The 20,183-nt window shown below is 46.1% G+C and overlaps 1 protein-coding gene across 2 annotated transcripts in view; it reads right to left on the bottom strand.

The window, feature by feature from the left end:
* The window catches only part of TGM6 (transglutaminase 6), a 51,853-nt gene that overhangs the window by 18,468 nt on the left and 13,202 nt on the right, over window positions 1-20,183 (bottom strand). For both annotated transcript variants that reach the window (NM_198994.3, NM_001254734.2), the window contains exons 2-9: window positions 19,661-19,834; window positions 18,850-19,092; window positions 17,662-17,780; window positions 16,240-16,368; window positions 14,548-14,725; window positions 13,842-13,980; window positions 10,786-10,889; window positions 10,463-10,705 (exon numbers count right to left, since the gene is read on the bottom strand). In NM_198994.3, coding sequence (NP_945345.2) covers window positions 10,463-10,705; window positions 10,786-10,889; window positions 13,842-13,980; window positions 14,548-14,725; window positions 16,240-16,368; window positions 17,662-17,780; window positions 18,850-19,092; window positions 19,661-19,834 — 1,329 coding nt within the window. The remainder of the gene's footprint in view (window positions 1-10,462; window positions 10,706-10,785; window positions 10,890-13,841; window positions 13,981-14,547; window positions 14,726-16,239; window positions 16,369-17,661; window positions 17,781-18,849; window positions 19,093-19,660; window positions 19,835-20,183) is intronic.

Raw genomic sequence — 20,183 nt, 5'->3', positions numbered from 1 at the left:
TGTATGGTCCTTGGGGAAATGTTCATTCACATCCTTTGCCATTTTAAAATTGGATTATTTATTTATTTCTTTATTTTGTAGAGATGGAGTCTTGCTATGTTGCCCAGGCTGGTCTTGAACTCCTAGCCTCAAGTACTCCTCTCGCCTTGGCCTCTCAAGGTGCTAGGATGGGCCAAGCATGGTGGTTCATGCCTTGGACTTTCAGGTGCTCTCAAAAAAAATTATTTTTTTTTTATGGTTGAGTTTTAAGAGTTACATATACATATATTTCAGATGAGAGTGCTTTATCCATTCAATACATGATTTGCAAATATTCTCTCCTATTCCATGGGCTATCTTTCCACTTTCCTGATGGTGCTGTTTGCAGGACAAGTTCTTAACTTTGATAAAGTCCAATTTTTTCCTTTGTTACTTGTGCTTTTGATGTCGTTTCTGAAAAGGCTTGGTCTAACCGAAGATCATGAAGATTTACTCCTATGTTTTCTTCCAAAAGTTTTATAGTTTTAGCTCTCACATGTAAGTCTATAAACCATTTTGAGAAATTTTTGTGTATCGTGTGAGATAGGAGGCCAACTTCATTCTTTTTATTTCCCTTTTTTAAAAATTTTTCATGTAACCAGTGGGGTATAACAACTTCATTCTTTTGCATGTGGGGATGTACAGTGGTCCCAACACCATTTGTTGAAAAGACTATTCTTATTCTTTCTCCATTGAATTGTCTTGACACGCTTGTAGAATCAATTGATCATAATTTTAAGGGTTTATTTTTCAACTCTCAGTTCAGTTTCTTTGATCTATATGTCCATTCTCATGCCAGTATCACACTGTCTGGGTTACTGTATATCTGTTGTAATTTTTGTCTTGTCTGTTTATTTTTGAGACAGAATCTCACTCTGTCACCCAGGGTGGAGTACAGTGGTGCAATCATGGCTCATTGCAACCTCAACCTCCCAGGCTCAAGCAATTCTCCCACCTCAGCCTCCTGAGTAGCTGGTAGCCATGCCACCACACTCAGCTAATTTTTAAAAGTTTTTGTAGAGATGAAGTCGTCCATGTTGCCCAGCTGGCCTGAAGGGAGATTTCCTGAACTGAAGGGAGTCTCCTGACTTGGCCTCCTAAAGTGCTGGGATCACAGACATAAGCCACCATGCCTGGCTGTAGTAAGTTTTGAATTTGGGAAGTATGAGCCCTCCAACTTCTTTTTCAAGATTATTTGGGCTATTTGGGGTTCCCTTGTGTTTCCAAATGAATTTTATGATCAGGTTGCTAATTTGGGGGAAAAAAACTCAGCTGTAACTTTGATAGGATTTTGTTGAGTCTGTAGGTCAATTTTGAGAGTATTGCAATTTTAACAATATAAACCCTTTCGATCAATGAAAATGGGATGCCTTTTCATTTATTTAGATCATTAATTTCTTTCAACAATGTTTTGTAGTTTTAGCATGTAAGTCTTGCTCTTCTTTTGTTGAATTTATTCCTAAGTACTTTATTCTTTTTGATGCTATTGTAAATGGATTTATTTTCTTAATTTCATTTTTGGATTATCCATTGCCAGTATCTAGAAATCTGATTAATTTTTGTATATTGATCTTGTGTTCTGCAAACTTGCTGAACTTGTTTATCATTTCTAATAGCTTTTTAATGGATTCCTTAGGATTTTATATATACAAAATTATGTCATGTGCAAATTTCTTTCCAATTTGGAAATTTCTCTGTTTCCATTTCTCCCTCCCTGTCTTCCTCCCTCTCTTCTTTTGTCTTCTTTCTATTTTAAAAATTGTGATAAAATACATAACATAAAATTTACCATCTTAACCATTTTTAAGTGTATACTTCAGTGTCATTAAGTACATTCATATTGTTGTGTAACCATCACTACCATCTACCCAGAGCTCTTTTCATCTTGATTGAAACTCTATACCTATTAAACAATAATGCCCATTCTCCCCAGATCTTAGCCCCTGACAACCACCATTCTACTTTCTGTCTGTATGAGTTTGGCTACTCTAGGTACTTCATAGATATAAGCGGCCTCATAGAATATTTGTTCTTTTATGTCTGGCTTATTTCACTTAGCATAATGTCCTCAAGTTTCTTCTGTGTTCCAGCATTTGTTGGTATTTTCTTTCTTTTTAAGGCTAAATAATATTCCATTGTATGTATATACCACATTTTGTTTATTCATTCATTCAGTGATGGACACTTGGGTTGCTTTCACCTTTTGGCCATTTTGATGAGATTGGGCGTATTCAGGGTGGTATGGCTATAGATGTTTTGGCTACTTTGAATAATGCTGCTCTGAACATGGGTGTACAAATATCTCTTCGAGGTCCTGCTTTCAATTCTTTTGGGCATATACCTGGAAGCTGAATTGCTGGATTGTATGATAATTCTATTTTTAATATTTTGGCAACATATTCAAGACATCAGTGCCAAATCCAACATCATGAAACTTTTCTCCTATGTTTTTTTCTAAGAGTTTTATAATTTTAGCTCTCACATTTAGACCCTTGATCCATTTTCAGTTAATTTTTCTATATAATGTAAGAGTCTAACTTCAGTCTTTTGCACATAGATATCCAGTTTTCCCAATACAATTTTAAAAAAGATATCTATTTCTTTTTCTTGCTTAATTTCCCTGGCTAGTACTTCCATAAAAATGACGAATCAACATGACAAAAAAGGACATCTTGGTCTTGTCCCTGATTTTGGGGTGTAAATGTTCAACGTTTCACTATTAAGTATCATTTTAGCTGTAGCTTTTTTATAGGTGACTTATCAGACTGAGGAAGTTTACTTCTATTCTTAATTTGTTGAGTGTTTTTTTTTATCATAAAGGGGTATGAGATTTTGTCAAATGCTTTTTCTGCATCTATTGAGATGATCATGTTATTTTGTCCTTTTTTCTATTGATACGGTGTATTATATTAGCTGATTTTCAATGTTAAACCCATCTTGTATTCTTGGGATAAATCCCACTTGCTCATGGCATATAATCTTTTTTATATGTTGCTGAATTCAGTTTATCAGTAAGCTGAATTCATTCCATATTCATGAATTTTTGCTTTCATTGTTGATTTTTGCTTTCACATTCATAAGGGAGATAGATATGTAGTTTTCTTTTCTTCTGATGTCATCTGGTTTTGGTATCAGGATAATACTGACTTCACAGAATGAGTTGAGAAGTATTCCCTCATCTTCTACTTTTTGGAATAATTCATGAATAATTGATATTAGTTCTTTTAATATTTGGTAGAATTCACCAGTGACATAATCTGGGCCTGATTATTTCTTTGTGGGAAGTTTTCATATTACTAGTTCATTATGAACTATTACTAGTTTTTTACTTGTTGTGAATCTATTCAGATTTTCTATTTCTTTTTGAGATAGTTTTGGTAAGAAAGTGTCTTTCTAGAAATTTACCCATTTAATCTAAAGTTATCTAATATGTTGTCACGCAGTTGCTCATAGTATCCCCTAATAAACTGTCATTAATTATAGCAATTCTGACTCTAAAAGTGTGGGGGTTTCTCATAACAACCAGTTCTCCAACTCTCTGGACACCAACTGGGTCTCCAGTTCAATTCAGTTCAATTCAATTCTAACAGTAGCTACCTGGAGTTAGCATCAGACTCCACACGTTGAAGGGCTCAGTCCCACAAGACTGAGACTTCAGACTCCAGTCACAAGTGTTGGTTACTCGGGGTTACTCACACTTCTGTCCAACTTTGCTACAGATTTGGGGTTCTCATAACTGGCCCCAGCCTTAGGTTTCATAATTTGCTAGAGGGGTTCACAGAACTCAGAAAAACAGTTTACTTACCATTCCTGGTTTGTTATGAAGGATATAACTCTGGAAGAGCCAAGTGGGAGAGATACACAGGGCAAGGTATGGCAGGGGGCAGGGGTGGTGTGGGGTTTCCATCTCCTCTCTAAGCATGCCACCCTCTCAGCACCTCAATGTCTTCCCCAACCTGGAACCTCTCCAAACCCCATTGTTTAGCAGTTTTTACAGAGTTTCATTACATAGGCATGACTGATTAAATCATAGGCCTTAGGTGATAAACTCAATCTTCAGCCTCTCTCCCCTCCCTGGAGGTCAGAGATGGGGTTTAAAGTCCCCAATCCCTAATCATGCCTTGATTTTTCAGGCAACCAGCCCCCATGCTGAAAGTGATCTAGATGCCCCTAGTCATCTCACTAATGTGCTATATAGCTGATGCTCTTCTCATTCTGAAGACTCCAAGAGTTTTAGGAGCTGTGTGCCAGAAACTGGGGATGATAACCAAATACTTTTCTTTAAAAACCACACTCTATAGTTCTTTTCATTTTTGTAGGGTTGGTAGTGACATCCTCTCTAATTTTAGTAATTTGATTCTTCTCTTAGTCTAGCTAAAGGTTTATCAATTTTGTCAGTCTTTTCAAAGAATCAACTGGTTTTGTTGATTTTCTTTTATGATTTTTCTGCTCTTTATTTCATTAACATTTATTTCCACTTTAATCTTTCTTGTTTCCTCTTTCTGCTTTTTTAGGTGTTTAGTTTGCTCTTCTTTTTCTAGGTTCTTTTTTTTTTTTTGAGACAGTCTCGCTTTGTGATCCAGGCTGGAGTGCAGTGGCCTGATCTCGGCTCACTGCAACCTCCGCCTCCCAGGTTCAGGTGATTCTCTTGCCTCAGCCTCCCGAGTAGCTGGAACTATAGGTGCATGCCCCCACACCCAATTAATTTTTGTATTTTTAGTAGAGACAGGGTTTCCCAATGTTGGCCAGGCTGGTCTCGAACTCCTGACCTCAGGTGATCTGCACACCTCGGCCTCCCAAAATGCTGAGATTATAGGCGTGAGCCACCACATCCAGCCATTTTTCTAGGTTCTTAAGGTAGAAGATTAGGCTATTGATTTGAAATCTTTCTTCTTTAATATAGGTTTTACGGCTATAAATTCCCCACTGTGTACTGCTTTAGCTGCATCTTATAAATTTTGGCATATTGCATTTTCATTTTCTTTCACTGCAGAGTATTTTCTAATTTGACTTGTGATCTTTCCTTTGGCTCACTGGATATTTAGACGTATGTATTGTTTAATTTTCACATATTATAAATGTATCAAATTCTCTTCTGATACTGATTTCTAATTTAATTCTATTGGAATAAGATTATACACTTTGTATGATTTCAATCCTCTTAAGTTTACTGAGGCTTATTTTATGGCTGAGCATATGGTCAATTCTGGATAATGCTACCCTTCTACTTTCCAAGAATGTGTATATGTTGCTGCTATAATGTGGAGTCTTCTATAGGCGTCTGTTAGAGTCTACCTGATTTTAAATGACAAATGTTCGCTTCCTCTCAACCAGTCCCTAAACTCTTTCCCTTCTTTATTTTTCCCCAAAATACTTATCAGTATCTGAAATACTAGTTATTTTACTTATTTGTTTACTTTTACCTGCCCCACTAGAATGTCAGCTCCTTTATCCTTTAAGATAAAGATCATACGCATTTTGTTCACTGGTTGCCTGGCACTCAGTAAATGCTCAATAAACACATGCCAATAGAAAAAAATGTGAAAATGTGGCTTATATGTCCTGTAGCTTCACATAAGCCAGTCCTGCAATCAACAAAACAAGGCCCTTCTTGATACAGCTCAGACTCCTTATGGCATTAAAAGCCCTTCATATGCTGTTGGCCCCAATTCATTCATTCCGTGAATCTGTACTGAGCACCTACTATGCAGTTGATGCTGCTGTAGGAGTTGGGGATACGGCAATGAACAAAACAGTCAGGCTTCCTGCCATCCTAGAACTCTCAGTCTAGGAGCATTCTAGGGAGACAACAAAGATTCAAGCAAATATCAAGTTGCGATATGTGCTTAGAAGGAAGTCAATAGGGTGCTGAGACCCCTGGCCAGGCAAAAGTTTGGGGTGAAGTCAGCAGGTCCTTCCCAGGCAAAGAAAGCATCTTGTGCCAAGTCCTTTAGGTATAAAAGAGCATGTTGTACCCAGGGGCTCTGAATCTTTGTGCTCTAGCTCTAGCATGTGTCCTGGTTCCACAGACAGAGCAAGGGCTCATGACTCAGAGAGGCACAAGCCCCTGTCATTTCATCTATAGAATACTGCTCATGCAAGTCAAGGATGTCTTGGCTTGCCTGAGCAATATTGCCCAGCATGAGTCTGGAATCCTGTTGGACTCTGTCTTCCTGGAATGCCTTCTCAACCTTTCATCTCCTGGCTAAATCTTACTCCCTTCAGCATTCCCTCCCATAGGCTGCTTTTCCTGATACCTTCTGCCCTGGTCGAATTAGAGACTCCTCCTCTTTGTTCCTTTAGCCTCTGGATGCCCCAGTAGAGTGCCAGTCACTCCGAATTATTCTGTGCTGTCAGCTCACCATGTGGTGAGTTCTCTGGGGACTTCTCTTTGTCCCCTTGCCTCTGAATCATGCCTGACACTCAGGAGGGTCTCTACTTTGAGAGCACATGAAAAAGCCTAGCATGCTGTATGGCACACCAAGGCCACTCAGCGAAGATGTGCAGTCTAGCATAGCAGGGAGGGCAGAGGCCCTAAGAGTAGACTGCCTCGTTAGAATTCCAGCTCTTCTGGGCTTTGGAAACTTGGGGAAGTTACTTAACCTCCCTGTACCTCAGTTTGCTTATCCATAAAATGATTTTATTTTATTTTTTGAGACAGAGTCTCGCTCTGTAGCCTGGAGTGTAGTGACGTAATCTCTGCTCACTGCAACCTCCGCCTCCTGACAGCAAGCAATTATCTTGCTTCAGCCTCCTGAACAGCTGGGACTACAGGCAACCACCACCACGCCCAGCTAATTTTTGTATTTTTAGTAGAAATGGGGTTTCGCCATGTTGGCCAGGCTAGTCTTGAACTCCTGACCTCAGATGATCTGCCCACCTTGGCCTCCCAAAGTGCTGGGATTGCAGGCGTGAGCCACCATGCCTGGCTCATAAAATGATTTTAAAATAAATATTAAATGAAATAATGCTTGGACATTGCTTACCATTTTGCTTAGCAAGTTCTAGATACTGTTACTATTATTTTTGTTAACCTAAATGTAAAATCACGTTGCCCACAGTAGGCAGTCAATAAACAGTAGACAATATTATAATTAAATAGTGGCAGTGCAGTGCAGAGTGAGGAGCATGGGCTCTGGGTTCTGCAGGAGAGTTCTCCCTTACTAGCTATGTTCTCTGGCTGGGTCAACTTGCCTCTCTGTACATCTGTCTTCTCCTCTGTAAAATAAACTTTGTACTAGTGTCTCACTTAAAAGCTCATGGTAAGGGCTTTGTAAACATTTGTTAAATAAAATGACTACATAACATGTGAAAATGGCCAGCCCACAGCCAGCGCTCAGTAACAGTGATTGTCATCACTGTTATCATGTAACAGGATGTTAATTTCTCCTGTGGCCATGGTTTTTTTTTTTTTTTTTTTTTTTTTTTTTTTTTTTGAGGAGTTTCGCACTTGTTGCTGAGGGTGGAGTGCAGTGTGCGATCCTGGCTCACTGCAACCTCCGCCTCCCAGGTTCAAGCAATTCTCCTGCCTCAGCCTCCCAAGTAGCTGGGATTACAGGCATGGGCCACCATGCCTGGCTAATTTTGTATTTTTAGTAGAGACGGGTTTTCGCCATGTTGGCCAGGCTGGTCTCGAACTCTTGACCTCAGGTGATCTGCCTGCCTCGGCCTCCCAGAGTGCTGGGATTATAGGTGTGAGCCACTGCACCCAGCTGGTCATAGTTAAATCTTAGGACAAAAGACCCACAGACCTCATGTACTTTTTTTTTTTTTTTGAGACAGGGTCTCACTGTGTTGCCCAGGCTGGAGTGCAGTGGCACAATCTTGTCTCACTGCAACCTCTGCTTTCCAGAATCAAGCATTCCTCCCACTGGAGCCTCCTGAGTAGCTGGGACTACAGGCATATGCCACCATGCCTGGCTAATTCTTTTGTATTTTTTATAGAGATGGGGTTTTGCCATGTTGCCCAGGCTAGACCCCACGTTCTAAGTTCCAGAAGCTCCCAGCTGAAGGGACCCAGCAATCAATCTGCAGGTCTTATCAGAGAGGTGGCAGCTCAGAAGAGGCCTTACCACATAGTCCCCTCATCCATAGCCCATCCCCAAGACAGTAAGAAGACAGCTAAAGTGGAAGATGTCTTTGACAGTCAAGAAAGTGCCATGTTCCTGGAGATAGGAGCTAAAGTGTGAGTTGGGGGTGTGAGTAGGTGTTTAAAAGAATCAGTGTTAAGGTTTGGGGGTATCTTCAGCAAGAAATGACTGGCTGATCAAGATTGGGGGTGCCTACAGAAAGGGAAGTTGGTATTCTCCTCCCTGTGGGAGGTCTGTTTATCCCGTCTTACTTACTAAGCCATGTACTACCTGAGCAGGGAGAAGAGAATTGAAGGGAGACAGCAGGTGGGAGACAGCCAGTCAAGACTGCTCCTTCTACCCACAAGTGTCAGGTTTCAGTTCCCAGCCTTGGAGTGGGACACAGTGGAGGTTAGGGTTGGGGGCCACAGCCTTGTAAAACCTCTGCAGAACTTGGGGACAAAAATCACCATGCATCAGAAAGAAGCTGTGTTGAAAGGACCCAAATAGCACAAGAAATCAGCAGTGTCTAGAGGAACAGCACAGGAATTAGTCTGGATGGCAGCAGGTTGTGATGGAGCCACCATCTGTCCTCAGCAAGCATAGATAGGAAACTAGGGCAGCAGCACCCACCCACTTAGCCAGCACTGAATCCTCACCCAGTTAAGACAAAGGCATCTGCTCTCTTCTGTCCTCTTTGCCTCCCTCTTAGCCTAACAGTGCTCTCAGCATTGGTTGCACACTAGAGACCACCTGGGAGCTTTAAAAAGTCCCAGTGCCAAAACCACATCCCGTAGAGACTATGATTCAATTAGTCAGGGGTGGAATCTGGCCTGCTGTGGTAGATTAAAAATGGCCATAATGCCTTACAACTTCCCACCCCTTGAATCTGGATTGGGCTCATGAATTGCTTTGACCAATAGAATGTGGCAGAAGTGACATGGTGCACATTCTGAGCCAGGCCTCTAGAAACCTCACAGCTTCATCTCTCACCTTCTGGGAATGTTGCTGCTATTCAGAAAAGCATGGGCTGGCCTGTTGGGACATGAGAGGCCGAGTGGGAACACAGACCCAGCCATCTCAGCAGTCCCACGTGACAGACATATGTGAGATCCCAGCCAGCACCACCTGGAGAAGATGAACCATCCCAGCTGAGCACAGCCCAAATTGTTGACCCACAGAATTGACCAAATAAGTAATTATTGTTTAAGATATATAACTGAAACAGCTCCCTGGATAATTCAAATGTGCAACAAGGGGCTAGGTGCAGTGGCTCATGCCTGTAATCCCAGCACTTTGGGAGGCTGAGGTGAGTAGATCACCTGAGGTCAGGAGTTCAAGGGCAGCCTGGCCAACATGGTGAAACCCCGTCTCTACTAAAAATACAAAAATTAGCTGGGCATGGTGGCGGGCACCTGTAATCCCAGCTACTTGGGAGGGTGAGGCAGGAGAATTGCTTGAACCCAGGAGGCGGAGGTTGCAGTGAGCTGAGATCACATTATTGCGCTCCAGTCTGGGCAACAAGAGTGAGATTCTGTCTCAAAGAAAAAAAAAAAAGTGCAACCAGAGCTGTAAAATATGATGCTAGAGAGCAGAAAAGGGAGGCGAGGAGGTGTTCAGAGCAGATTGTGTCTCCTCTTTAGCAACCTTCCAGGGTCACTGCTCTAGCTTGTGCTCAGGGGACAGGAGGAGACAGGGTCTAATTCAAGTTTGAGCTTGAAGTCATAATTACTTGGTGACATGGATTTAACAAGCAGAAATGGTTGAAAATATGTTAATCAGATCATAACATTGCTAAGGAACCTGTTACACAGTGGGAAAGGGAGATTTTTAAAGTATATAGTTGGAAACAGCTATAAGAAAAAATACAACTGTTTTGTTTTTGTAGCCTAACAAGTAGGGGCTCTTCAATGAACCAATGGCCATAAATTGGTATCACGGCACAGGCCCTGGCAGATGCTAAACAGGAGATGCTATTATTATTAGTCTGAATTGGGCCTGTGCCATGCGTTTGTCCTAGGTGTTCAATAAATAATACCTGCTACTATCATCATTATTGTTACTAGTAGTGATTATTGTATGTGAACATACCTAATGCAGTGCCTGGTATATGGCAAGTGTTCAAGGAGATGTAGCTATTATTATTACAAATGGGAAATCTTCTAAGGTAGAAGAGGTGCTTAGCAAACAGAGGAAGCTATTAATGTAGCCTAAATAAAGGCACTTGGCTCAGAGCACAGAGACAACGTGAATGGAAGCTGCTGTCAGCGTCATATACATGGGGTGAGGCCTGGCTCCAGGCCACCTGCAGTGGGCCCTCTGCAGCTGATGGGCCATCCGGGGGAAGGTAATAAAGGCCGCCATGTGGCCCTTACCTTCCGGATACTTGTAGAGGTCAGTGATGTCCACGCGGGAGTCACTGCCCACCGCCTTGGTGCTGATGCATCTCCCAATCTTCTTCGTGTTTGAGTATACACGCTCCCGGCTCTCATCCTCGTGCCACAGCCAGGTGATGTAGTCGGCGTTGACCTCCGCAAACACGAAGGGGCCATCGTGAGCCAGGTGCACATCACCCTCGCGGATGGCGGTGACTGAGGCTGGGCCGCACCGGAACACACCTGGGCAGGAGGGGTGGGCATGAGCAGCATGGGTAAGGAAAAGCAGGGGTCTGGAACTTACCCCACCCAATTGAGCGTACCTTCACTCTCCTCCTGGGGGGTGGCATCCAGAACCTGCCAGCCATTGTAAGAGGGGCCTAGGTCCTGCCGGGCAAACCAGCTCTCATTCCAGACATGGAAATTCCTGCCACAGAGAGAGGATGGGTGAAGCTGCCTAGAGTGAGGGCATAGGAAGGGAAGATCCTACTGAGAGGCAGGCCCTGGGCTCCCTACTTTCCACAAGAACTGTGGCTGCATGTTGTGAATCACTCATTCAACCACATGAATGAGCACACAGCATTCACATATGTTTGTATATATATGTGTATGTGTGTATATAGATGTGTGTGTACATTTATCAAGAACCTGTTGTTCAAGGTACTGCAACTAAGACAGAAGATCTTTACTCTCATGCTGCTTACATTCTAACAAAGGAGACAGGCAAAGCTAAGTCAGCAGATAAATCAAACAAATGCAAGTGACAATAAATGTTAGGAAGAAAAAGAGGGGCTTAAGCTAGAGAACAACCCCTATAGACCTACTCTAGGTAAATGACATTGAAGGTGAGACTTCAGTGAGAAAGAATAAGCTATAGGAAGAGTGAAGGGAACAATATTCTAGAAAGAAGGAACAGCATGTGCAAAGGTCCTAAGTGAGACAAGAAAAGGCCTTGTGTGTTCAAGGAGCAGAAAGTATTTAAGTATCTCTGGGATATGGCCAGCAGAGGGGGTAGGTAGGGTTCTGATTATGCAGAGCACCATAGACTCTGGTAATTCCAGCCTTATTTTTAATTCCCCGTGTTAAAGATGAGAATATGAGTAGGAAACATGACATCACCTGCTCAAGGTCTTGCAGAAAGAAAGGAGCAGACAGAAACCTGATTCCCGGTTTGCCTGACTTGGCATCTTTACAGCCGGCCTCAGAACTCCTCTTCGGCAGGCAACTGTTTTTGTTGGGGAAAGTATGTTGATTAGCATTTGGGGATTAAAGGTGGGACCCTGATAACCTGGGTGGTGACAGAGTCCCCAACATCAAAATGAAGTGTCTGTGCTTTCTGCATGAAGAAAAGAGAAGAATGCGAGTATTTTGTGCTTCCAGGGCAAGGGAATGAAGAGAACCAAAAAAGAGGAGAGGCCAAGGGGAGCAAAGAGATGGTCTGAGCTGGAGGCCAGCTCGGGAAGGGCTCCTGGCACGCTCCCCTGGGGAACAAGGATACAAGGCTCTCTGTGTCTCTGTGTTGTGTTTTCTTCACTGTCTCTCCTAATCTTTATTTTTTAATTTTTATTTATTTATTTATTTTGAGATAGAGTCTTGCTCTGTCACCTAGGCTGGAGTGCAATGGCACAATCTTGGCTTACTGCAACCTCCGCTTCCCAGGTTCAAGTGATTCTCACGCCTCAGCCTCCCCAGTAGCTGGGGAGGTGTGTGTCACCACACCCGGCTAATTTTTTTTAATTTTTATTTTTAGTAGAGATGGGGTTTCACCGTGTTGGCCAGGCTGGTCTCGAACTCCTGACCTCAAGTGATTTGCCAGCCTCGGCCTCCCAAAGTGTTGGGATTACAGGTGCGAGCCACCGCGCCCAGCCATCTCTCCTAATCTTTAGAAAGTTGGCTTTGAGTGGCAGACTTGCACATGTGTGAACAGACATTTGAACAAGGTTATTCACTGAAGCCTTGTTTGTAAAGGCAAACTTGTTTTTAACTGAGGCAACTGAAATGTCCATCCATATGGGATGGTTAGATGAACAATGGCTTTTTCATGCAATTGAGAGGCAGACTGGGTTCATACCCTTATGCTTCCACTCACTAGCTGTGTGGCCTTGGATGGGTTACTTAACCTCTCTGTGCTTCAGTTTCCTCATCTGCGAAATAGAATCAATGATCTTAACTTATTCACAGGTTGTTTGAAGAAATACATGAGTTAATCTATATATAGCACTTAGAACTGGACCTGGCACAGACTAGGTGCTTGGTGGGTGTTACGTTATTACTTAAAACATTATGGAAAATAAGGAAAACTCTGTGTATTTACGTGGAATTGTTAAATGTTCCAGCAAGAACAGTATCACATAAAGCTGCCAATACTGTTTAAGCAGGGAAAAGGCGGGGAGGCACTGTAGGTATGTATGTGCTCGTGTCTGCAGAGCATCTCTCTGACAGGAGATGTAGCAGACAGTGATAGTGTTGCCTCCAGGAGGAGGATGGGGAGGCTGGGGAACTGGGCGGGAGGGAGACATCACTGCAACCCATTTTGTACCTTTCAAATATTAAACCACATGAATGTTTTTCCTATTTCAGAAAATTAAGTAAGTTAGAATGAATTTTTTTTTTTTTGAGACGAAGTCTCACTCTGTCACCCAGGCTGGAGCGCAGTGGCATGATCTTGGCTCACAGAGGCAACCTCTGCCTTCCAGGTTCAAGCGATTCTCCTGCCTCAGCCTCCAGAGTAGCTGGGACTACAGGCGCCTGCCACGATGCTTGGCTAATTTTTGTGTTTTTAGTAGGGATGGGGTTTCACTATGTTGACCAGGGTGGAGTGTAATGGTGTGATCTCAGCTCGCTGCAACCTCTGCCTCCTGGGTTCAAGCAATTCTCCTGCCTTAGCCTCCTGAGTAGCTGGGATTACAGGTGTGAGCCACCGTGCCTGGCCTGGAATGAATTTTTTAAAGCTTTATGTGAAGAATTTTGTTTTAGCTAAGGAAGGAGTCTGTTTCCCACCTGAGACACACAACACGGAGAACCGCAGCTGATACGGAAGCAGGAGCCTGATCCAGAGGTACCTGTGCAGAAGGAGTTCCCACCCCACCCCACCCCAGGAAGCCACAGATTCCCAGACAGAGTAGAACCGGGCGTTCAAGGCAATCAAATCTTGAGGCCCCTCCTGACCTCTGAGTCTACATCTCTTGACCTCAGACCTTACATCTTGGAAGAGGCACCACTATCCGCAGGGCGCCTCTCACTCCCTCCAGAGCCGGCTCAGATTCAGGAGAGCTGGGCTCTGGGCCTGCCGCTCCCTGGTGGTGTTATGGAAGATGAGGCCTTGCTCCACCTGCTGGGCTTCCAGAGCCCTCGGGCCTAGGCTGGGGGCAGGACCCACCACATGCTGTCTTCTGTCAGGTCCTCCAGGGTCCGCCCGAAGGAGTCCACGTATTTGTCCACACTCAGGTTCTGGTCTGTGTCGTGGGCTGAGTTGAAGTTGGACACGACCCGTGTGGCTATCCCCAAGCACCTGAGGACTGCAGAGCAGAGAGGCTCGGAGCAGGCGGGACCCTGGCCCCTGAGAGAGGGGCCTGGCTTCCACAGCAGGCGCCCTGGCTCATTTGTGGCCAAAGCCCTCTGCCACCCCATCTTTGTCTGTGTGTCTAGTTCATCAGGTTGTGGGGCTGAGACTCCCATCTCCACTCTCAGAAATGCCACCATCTCCTGCACGTTCTCTCAAGGACTTCAGGATATGCTGTTGCCACCTCATGTAAGTAGACAGGCTTTGAGGCTGGCAGGAACTTGGAAGCCACCTAATAGAGCCCTCATCTTCCTGAGGGGACTGGAGGCCAAGGGAGCCGCAGGGCTCGCCCAAGGCACTCAATGAATGAGAGACAGAGGGAGCTAGGACTCCTTCAAGATAAAAGATCAGATATGAAGGAAATAAATTCTCTGGCTTCTCTCTTCATCAGCCAGACTTCGTTCTCCCTGTCAATGAATCCATCAATGAAGATGGGTTGCAGCATATGCAAATATATGTAAATACATTTAGATAGAGGAAGCTGGGGGCACAGGTACCCTGGGGCCCTTCTCTCCCAGGGTACCTGTGCACAGGACTCCGGCGAAGACCCAGCACTGGCCGTACTTGACTGGCTTGTACCTGCCCTTGAGCCACTTCTGCAGAATGGCCACGCTGCCGCGCCAGTGCAGCGGGCTGGTGCCGCCGCCGTACTTGCCCTGCCACTGTCCTTGCACCACACCTCGGTCGTTGTTGCTGTTCACCTGGGCAGAGGAGGGCACGGGTCCACAACCAGGCAGGGCTTCCTACCTCAAGAACCGCATCGTGGTCAAATCCTGTCCAACTTTGGACCACCAGGTCCATCGGGGTCACTCTTGCTTTTTAACTGTCTGAAAATTAGGGGCATCTGTTGCCTTAAAATACCTACTTCCTGGTAGCACTTGTCATTTTCAATTATCTTCCATTTGGATACTGTGTTGTAAAAATCATTACAACTTTAGAGCATTTCCTATGTTAAATGATCTGTTTTGGGGGACTGTTGGCATAATCATTATAGGGACAGCTAACATTTATTAAATGCTCATTGTGTGCCAGACACCACTATGCCAAGAATTTTGTGCACACTATATTAACCTGTTGAAGTTTACAATGTAGGTTTCATTATTCTTTTTTTTTTTTTTTTTCAGATGCAAAAACTGAGCTTCAGAAGCATTCAGGGACCTGCCCAAATCACACAGCAAGTTAGTCCAAGTGGTGATCCATGAGTCTAGGACTTGGACTTGGGAGCCTTGAGTTCAGGACTTTCACTGTCCTCAGGGCTGTGATGCTCTGCTGTTTGGGATTGTCACTCATGTTAATTCTCTGTGCTCCAACTGCTCTCTGAGGTCTTGAGGAATTGAGAGTATCAAATAGGAGAAATATAGCTTTGTGCAATTTTGGAATCTCAGATACCCACCCACTGACCTTAATACCTGCATGTGGTAGAGGGAGGTGGTGGGCCCTGCAGACACCTTTTGGGAGGAAACACCATAGCCTGAGGCCTGTGATAGGTTAAAGTTGTCATGCCTCCCACGGAGAGGTGGGTCTATGTCCCACTCAAGAAGAGGGTTCCTCTTGAGTCTGGGCTGGCCTGTGACTAATTTGACCACTGACTATGGTGGAATTGATGTTGTGCCAGTTTCCAGGCCTAGACCTTATAAGACTGGGAGCTTCCACTTCCTCTTTCTTGGAAGAATTGCTTGGGGCAGGGAGGTGGGGGTGGGGAGCCATTGCTATGCATGAAACTGCCATATTGTGGGGAAGCCCAAGCTAGCCACATGGAAAGGTTGTGTAGAAAGAGTGATGACTGGTGGGTCCCAGCTGCTCCAGCCACCCCAGCCCAGAACCTGACATGAGGGTGGGGAAGCCATCCTGGACATTCCAGTTCCAGGAGACATGACATGGATGGCAACCTAGGAACTGCCAACCACCAGAACCAAAGCCCCAGACAGAGGTCCTGTTAAACCATCCCAGACATATGCAGTCATTAAGATATCCCCAGAAGAAGCATCTTGGAGTGGAACCAAACCATTCTCATGGTGCCCTGCCCAAATTCCTAGTCTAAAAAACAGTAAGCATAATAAAGGGTTGTTTTACACCACTGAGTTTTGGGGTGGTTGGTTCTGCAACAACAGCGAATTAAAACAAGGGGTGATGGGAAGAATCACAGGTTGTGGCCCCGGGGTTGGCTGGGGGATCCTTGAGGAAGTACATGTGCAGGGATGGAGGGGCTTCTCACCATGGCACTGATGACCCTGGTGACGTAGATGGGGTTGTGGCGGCAGGACACGTCGGTGGCTGGGTTGTTTTGGTGACCGGGGCTTCGATCCAGGATGGAGAGGCAGATGTTCAGGATGTCCTCCTCAAACTGCTCCCCAGAGAGGCTGTGCTTAGAGGCTGCGTTCAGTCACCCATATTCCAGGCCCTCCCACAGCCCTCACCCGGTCAGTCACCCCATCTGTGCAGGGCAGTTTGCTGCCCCCTCCAACCACCAGGGGCATCACAGAGCACCCCCTAGTCTTGGAAACCCTTCCTCAAAGAGTCACCTGGGGAATCAGAACCTCAGCCTTAATCATGTCTCTCCCCTGCTCAACAATCTCCTGTGGCTCCTGACTACCCACAATAAAGTCTGAGCTAAAATCGGAGGCTCTCGAGCCACATCCACCTCGCTGATATGCTCATTTGGTCTACATGATGTTTTCAAACACATTTGAATTAGTTAACAACATTTAAAAATTGGGGAATTTTTGCATACACATTTAGGTTTCTGGTCTCTGATAATTTGGAAGGTCTGGCAACAAAAAGTGGGTGCTGAGTAGTGGCTACCCCTTAGGTGGACCCTAAACTCTTCACTATAACTTCCCTGCCCAGCACCCGAATCCCAAAGCCTTTAAACCCCTGGCCTGCAGGGCAGTGCGTGACTCCTCAGCCTGACAGTCAAGTCCAGTCTTTCTTCCACCGGGGACCTGGAGCTCAGGCAGACAGAATTCCTCTAGCAGACTCAAGACTCCCTACTTCCCACGTCCGTGCGGCTCTGCCTGCTCTTCCCTCTGCCTGGGCAGATCCTGCCTCACTGTAGAGACCCAACTACAATATCACGTAAGCCTCCACAATGGCCGAAGTGGAGGTTCCTTTCACCCTCTTCTGGACTCCCTTTGCTTCCATCCCTATCATTCTGACTTTTTCCTTCCCCTATTGCACCTGGTATTGGAACTACTTATCTAAGCCAGTGGCTGTTAAAGTGTGGTCTTAGGCCAGCAGCATCAGCATCACCTGGGAACTGGTTAGAAACGCACATTCTCAGGCCCTGCCCAAGACCTACTCAGTCGGCAGCTCTGGGGGTGGGGTCCAGCACGCCATCCCTCCTGGGATTCTGATGTACGCTCGTGTTTGAAAACCACTGATCAGAGCTATTCATTTTTCCACAACCATACTGACCTGTTCTGTGTCCAAACCTTGTCCAAAGCACCTCCCCTTCCCCAGGACCCAGTGCAGGCCCTGGCCCAGTGAATAGTAGATGAATGAATGAATGAGTGGGTTTTCTCTAGGAGTGAGCCCCCCTTGTCCCTCCTGAGAAGAGTGAGCAGACAGAGGGACTCCAGTCCCACCGACCTCCCCATGCCCCAGCCCACATCCTTGTCTGGCCTGTGCCCCTGGAGACCTGCCCGTAGTTCCAGCCCTGGGCTCGTATGTGCTTCTCCACGCCTCGGAAGATGATGCCGCTGTCGCTGAGCACGTACTCCTGTCTCTCCTCCTCTGAGGCCAGAAACACATCGTCCTCTGAAAAGCAGTCATCAGGCCCGGTGTGGACTGGGGCTCTGGCCTTGCTGGCCTGGGGAAGGGGCTGCATCAGGGATCAGCAGCAGGGCAGCGCCCGGAGGCTGACTGGGGCAGGAGAGGTCAAGAGGGGGCTTGCGAGCTCCCGTGCTGCCTCCCTGCCAAACTCCATCCCTCCTGGCAAGTCTTTAACCAAGCAGGGACCAATCCCAAAAGAGTTTTATGGGAACTGACAGCTTTGGGTGGGCCTCCTTGATGTCAGTAGTAGCCTCATATTTCTCATATTTCCTTCTTTTTTTCTTATTTTCTTTTCTTTTTTTTTTTTTTTGAGATAGAGTTTTGCTCTTGTTGCCCAGGCTGGAGTACAATGGCGCAATCTTGGCTCACTGCAACCTCCACCTCCTGGGTTCAAGTGATTCTCCTACCTCAGCCTCCCGAGTAGCTGGGATTACAGGCGTGTGCCACCACAGCTGGCTAATTTTGTATTTTTAGTAGAGACGGGATTTCTCCATGTTGGTCAGGCTGGTCTTGAACTCCCCACCTCAGGTGATCCCCCTGCCTTGGCATCCCAAAGTGCTGGGGTTACAGGCGTGAGCCACTGCACCCGGCCATATTTCTTAAATATTAATAATAATACTGATCCTGGCCACCCCTTACTAAGGCCTTATGATGTATCTCATACATTACAAGTATTAGCCCTATGGGTGTTCACCATAGTCATAAGAGGTAGGCACTGTTATTTTTCCCATATTACAGATGAGGAAATGGAGACTGGTAGAGGAGAGCAGCTCAGCACAGCTGGGACTAAACCAAGGCAGTCTGATTCCCAAGTCCTGGCTCTTACCCACCCCTGGGCCTCTCTTGCCCACTGGGTCCTCTGGCATAGGCTTTGAAGCACCTGCTACCAGGTTTCTCTGACCATTGCCTACCTCTGCCTAGGCTAAGTTCTTGCCCAGCTCTTGGCATTCAGCTTCTTGTCCTTTAACCCACCTCCCAGGCCCCCTCCAAGGGCAGGCTCTCCTCTAAGGATGTCTTTTGGAAAAACCTCTGCATTGGACTTGGCCACTCCTACCTGCACACCATGGGTTGAAAAGGAGAACAAACTCGCCCAGCCTCCGGTTGCTGTGTTTGCGGTGAGAGGAAAGCCTGATGCTCAGCAGGTAGCGGCCAATGACAGCACTGGGAGGGCTGGCGAGACTGACGGTCAGAGTTTTCTCCATCTGAGCCTCCCTTGCTGCTGTCCAGCCCTCACCCCGCTCCAGCTCCGATGTCTGGAACACAGCTTTGGTGTGGAGGGCCTCAGAAGCCCGGGGTCCTGGAGGAGAGGAGAGGGAATCAGGAGACCCTTCCCCTGGGAAACCCAGCTTTAGAGAAGTGAAAAAAGCTACAGGCCTGGAAGCCCCACCTTCACCCCCTGAACTTCTGGGAGGCTTTGGGAGAAGGACCTGACAAAGAGCAAGAAGGCCAGTGGCCAAGTGAGGGTCCACCTCAGCTGCCCTGACATCCCAGCCACTTCCAGGCCAAGGAGAAAGTGACAGCATCCTTTGAAACCAAAGTCTGCCTATGTCGGGCCAGGAAAGGAAAGAAAAGCTTGGGCTTCAAAGTGCTTGACGGGTTTTCATACCCTTCCAGAGCCCTGGGTGTCTGGTACACACAGGGTTCCAGAGAGGTCATCCCATCCATCCCACTGTCTGCTGGCAGCACCTCCCAACCACCCCCAGAAAGCTGCCACCAGAAGCCTCCAGGGTTCAAGGCTCCGTCTACCTACAGTGACTTGCTTCCCCCAGAGCCTGAGCTGCTGACTGCAAGGTCTTATGTTACTGAGTCATAAGACAGGTCCCTCCAGCTGCAGACGAGAAGAGGGTGCTGGCAAGCCCAGTTACCTGTCTCCATCGTGAAGATGAGGATCTCCTCACAGTCCAGGGCTCTGCTCAGCTCCAGCGTGAGGCTGAACGACTGGCCCCTGCGAACCACCAGCTCAGGGCAGGGGTACTCCTGGGTGTGGTGGGCAGCGCCATTCCTCGACCGCTGCCAGTCCACCTTGGTGACTCTGATCCCTGGGTGGGGAGAGGACAGGGAGATGAGGCCACGGCCTCCTGTTTCTCACCCACTCTGAGCTTGTCCTCCCATTCATTCTCGGCCAGTCATTTGTTCATCCAGCTGCTATTTATCATATACCGGCGATTCTCTGTTTGTTTGTTTGTTTGTTTGTTTTGAGACAGGGTCTCACTCTATCACCCAGGCTGGCGTGCAGTGGCGTGATCTCAATTCACCGCAACCTCTGCCTCCCAGGTTCAAGCAATTCTTGTGCCTCAGCCTCCCGAGTAGCTGGAACTAGCAGGTGCACATCACCACACCTGGGTAATTTCTTTGTATATTTTTGGAGAGATGGGGTTTTGCCATGTT

Source organism: Homo sapiens, chromosome 20 (assembly GCF_000001405.40).
Source record: "Homo sapiens chromosome 20, GRCh38.p14 Primary Assembly".
Lineage (NCBI taxonomy): Eukaryota > Metazoa > Chordata > Mammalia > Primates > Hominidae > Homo > Homo sapiens.
Note: the sequence above shows the minus strand (reverse complement) of the source record. Positions and strands in the feature narration are given on the sequence as shown.